At 46.9% G+C, this 3,345-nt stretch overlaps 1 annotated feature.

The window, feature by feature from the left end:
- Positions 664 to 1,163: an enhancer, noted in NCBI's record as "H3K27ac hESC enhancer chr5:76068685-76069184 (GRCh37/hg19 assembly coordinates)". NCBI's record gives its function as "activates a minimal SCP1, AML or CMV promoter by ChIP-STARR-seq in naive H9 embryonic stem cells {active_cell/tissue: H9 hESC(naive)}" and the evidence as "EXISTENCE:reporter gene assay evidence [ECO:0000049][PMID:30033119]".

A 3,345-nucleotide genomic window follows, 5' to 3' on the forward strand; every position in this document is an offset into this window, starting at 1 on the left:
GAACATGAATTGTAGACAGAGGGAGTGGAGTAGGGGGTTATGTGTGGGAGCAGACTCTGGAGGAGTGAGACTTCTCCGCCCAGACAGGGTGTGGACTGGAGTCTGCATGAGAGGAGAGGAAAACAGAGAAAGGGACTGAAAATAGGATGCTAAACACCGAGATTTTCAAAATGCTGTGGATAATTTTTTAGGACCTAGAATTCCTTATCATCTAAACCAGGTATCAAAAGTAAAGGCAGATAATGACATTTTCAAACTGCCAGGATTCAGCACGTTTACTTACTACATACTCTTTCTTAATGAAGTTCCTTGAGGATGCACTTCAATAAAAAAAAAAGGAGCGGGGAGTGGAGTGGGGGAGGAAATTGAGAAAGAAAAATATGAGGCAATGAAGAAACAAGCCAGGTTGAGAGCTATACAAATTATAACAAATGTCAGATGTCAGGCCGGGCTTGGTGGCTCACGCCTATAATCCCAGCACTTTGGGAGACTAAGGCAGGCAGATCGCTTGAGCCCAGGAGTTCGAGACAAGACTGGGCAACATGGTGAAACCCCATCTCTACCAAAAATACAAAAAAATTAGCCAGGTTGGTGGCGCACACCTGTAGTGCCAGCTGCTAGGGAGGCTGAAGTGGGAGGATCACATGAACTCGGGAAGTTGGGGCTGCAGTGAGCCAAGTCCAGCCTGGACAACAGAGACCCCATCTCAAAAAAACAAACAGGCCAGTTGCGTGGCTCACGCCTGTAAACCCAGCACTTTGGGAGGCCGAGGCGGGCAGATCATGAGGTGCAGTTCGAGACCAGCCTGGCCAACATAGTGAAACCCTGTCTCTTCCAAAAATACAAAAATTAGCTGGGCATGGTGGTGTGTGTTTGTAGTCCCAGCTACTGGGGAGGCTGAGGCAGGAGGAGTGCTTGAACCTGGGAGGCAGAGGTTGCAGTGACCCAAGATCGTGCCACTGCACTCCAGCCTGGGCGACAGAATGAGACTCAATCTCAAAAAAAAAAAAAAAAAAAAAAAAAAAAAGGAATGAAAAACACAAACGAGGGCCGGGTGTGGTGGCTCATGTGTGTAATCCCAGCACTTTGGGAGGCCGAGGCGGATGGATCACCTGAGATCAGGAGTTCAAGACCAGCCTAGCCAACATGGTGAAACCCCATCTCTACTAAAAATACAAAAAATTAGCTGGGCATGGTGGCGGGCGCCTGTAATTCCAGCTACTCAGGAGGCTGAGGCAGGAGAATCGCTTGAACCCGGGAGGCAGAGGTTGCAGTGAGCCGAAATTGCGCCACTGCACTCCAGCCTCTCCAGCCTGGGCAACAAGAGAAAAACTCCGTCTCAAAAAAAAAAAAAAAAAAAAAAGAAAGAAAGAAAAACACAAACGAATGTCTGTGGGCTGCAGGAATACTTACTTGCAAGAAGAAATATACTGGATTCCAGGCAATATATAAAGCAAGTAAGGAACTGAAAAAACAAAAACAAAAAACCAATCTGGAAGAATGTGGTGGCAAAAGCATGTTTCTTTCATTAAGAAAGGTAATGCCGCCTGGCGCAGTGGCTCACACCTGTAATCGCAGCACTTTGGGAAGCTGAGGCGGGCGGATCACCTGAGGTTGGGAGTTTGAGACCAGCCCTACCAAAATGGAGAAACCCCGTCTCTACTAAAAATACAAAATCAGCAGGGCGTGGTGGCGCATGCCTGTAATCCCAGCTACTCGGGATGCTGAGGCAGGAGAGTTGCTTGAACCCGGGAGGCGGAAGTTGCGGTGAGCCGAGATCACGCCATTGCATACCAGCCTGGGCAACAAGAGCTAAACTCCATCTCAAAAAAAAAAAGAAAAAGAAAGAAAGGTAATGCCTAAGCTGGGCGCGGTGTTCACGCCTGTAATCCCAGCACTTTGGGAGGCCGAGGCGGGTGGATCACGAGGTCAGGAGACTGAGACCATCCTGGCTAACACGGTGAAACCCCGTCTCTACTAAAAATACAAAAAATTAGCCGGGCGTGGTGGTGGGCGCCTGTAGTCCCAGCTACTTGGGAGGCTGAGGCAGGAGAATGGCGTGAACCCGGGAGGCGGAGCTTGCAGTTAGCTGAGATCGCGCCACTGCACTCCAGCCTGGGCGACAGAGCGAGACTCCGTCTCAAAAAAAAAAAAAAAAAAAAAAAAAAAAAAAGTAAAAAGTAAAATTTTAAAGAAAACAAATTTCCCAAGCATTTCTCAGTTTGCTTTTGAGAAATGATTACGGTCATTTCCTTTAAGTGGTTAGTTCAGTGAATTATAGCTTTTTGTTAATTTGATTTCACAGCACAGTTTTGAAAATCACCCCAAAAAGTACTGCATGGCTTGAGCTGGCTTTTAACAGAATAAAATTCAATTCTGCTTTGAAGTCTTTATGACCTCCTTTACAGAAATGGTGACATTGTGGGGTTCTGAGCGCACCCTGAAATCACAGGTCTTGTGTGACACTGTGAAAATTACCCAGAACCCTGGGCACCCACTCCTCCACTACGGAAGTCACCAATGCTGGCAAATAGCATAACGGGCTTGTGGCGCCCCCTACTGTCCACTAGGCAAACTGCATCACCTTCCTGAGCTACGTTCCAGGGTGAAGTTAAAAAAGAAATCTGCACTTGGAAAGACTGCATGAAGGCAGTGTCAGGCACGTGTATTTATTTACGTTCTTTAATCAATAGATATGATTTCCAAAATTATTTACATAACAATTTGGGAAATTTGAACGTAAGATGGATATTAGATGATTTGGGAATATTAAGTAATTTTCAAGCCTGGGACCGACACCTGTATGGGAGCTGAGGCAGGAGGGTCACTTAAGTGCAGAAGTTCGAGACAGACAACACAGTGAGGCACCGTCTCTACAAAAAGTTAAAAAAAAAATTAACCAGGTGTGGTGGCAGGTGTCTGGTCCCAGCTACGTAGGAGGCTGAGGTGGGAGGATTACTAGAGCCTAGAGGCCGAGGCTGCAGTGAGTGATGATTGTACCACTGTATATCAGCCTGGATCAGAGTGAGACTCTATCTCTAAATAAATAATGATAATTTTGTTTTGTTTTGTTTTTTTGAGATGGAGTCTTGCCCTGTTGCCCAGGCTGGAGTGCAGTGGCACGATCTCAGCTCACTGCAACCTCCACCTCCTGGGTTCAAGCAATTTTGTCTCAGCCTCCCAAGTAGCTGGGATTACAGGCCCACACCACCACACCTGGCTAATTTTTGTATTTTTAGTAGAGACAGGGTTTCGCCATGTTGGCCAGGCTGGTCTCAAACTCCTTACCTCAAGTGATCCAATCGCCTCGGCCTCCGAAAGTGCTGGGATTACAGGCATGAGCCA

The sequence above is a fragment of the Homo sapiens genome, chromosome 5, assembly GCF_000001405.40.
Source record: "Homo sapiens chromosome 5, GRCh38.p14 Primary Assembly".
In the NCBI taxonomy this organism is placed as follows: Eukaryota; Metazoa; Chordata; class Mammalia; order Primates; family Hominidae; genus Homo; species Homo sapiens.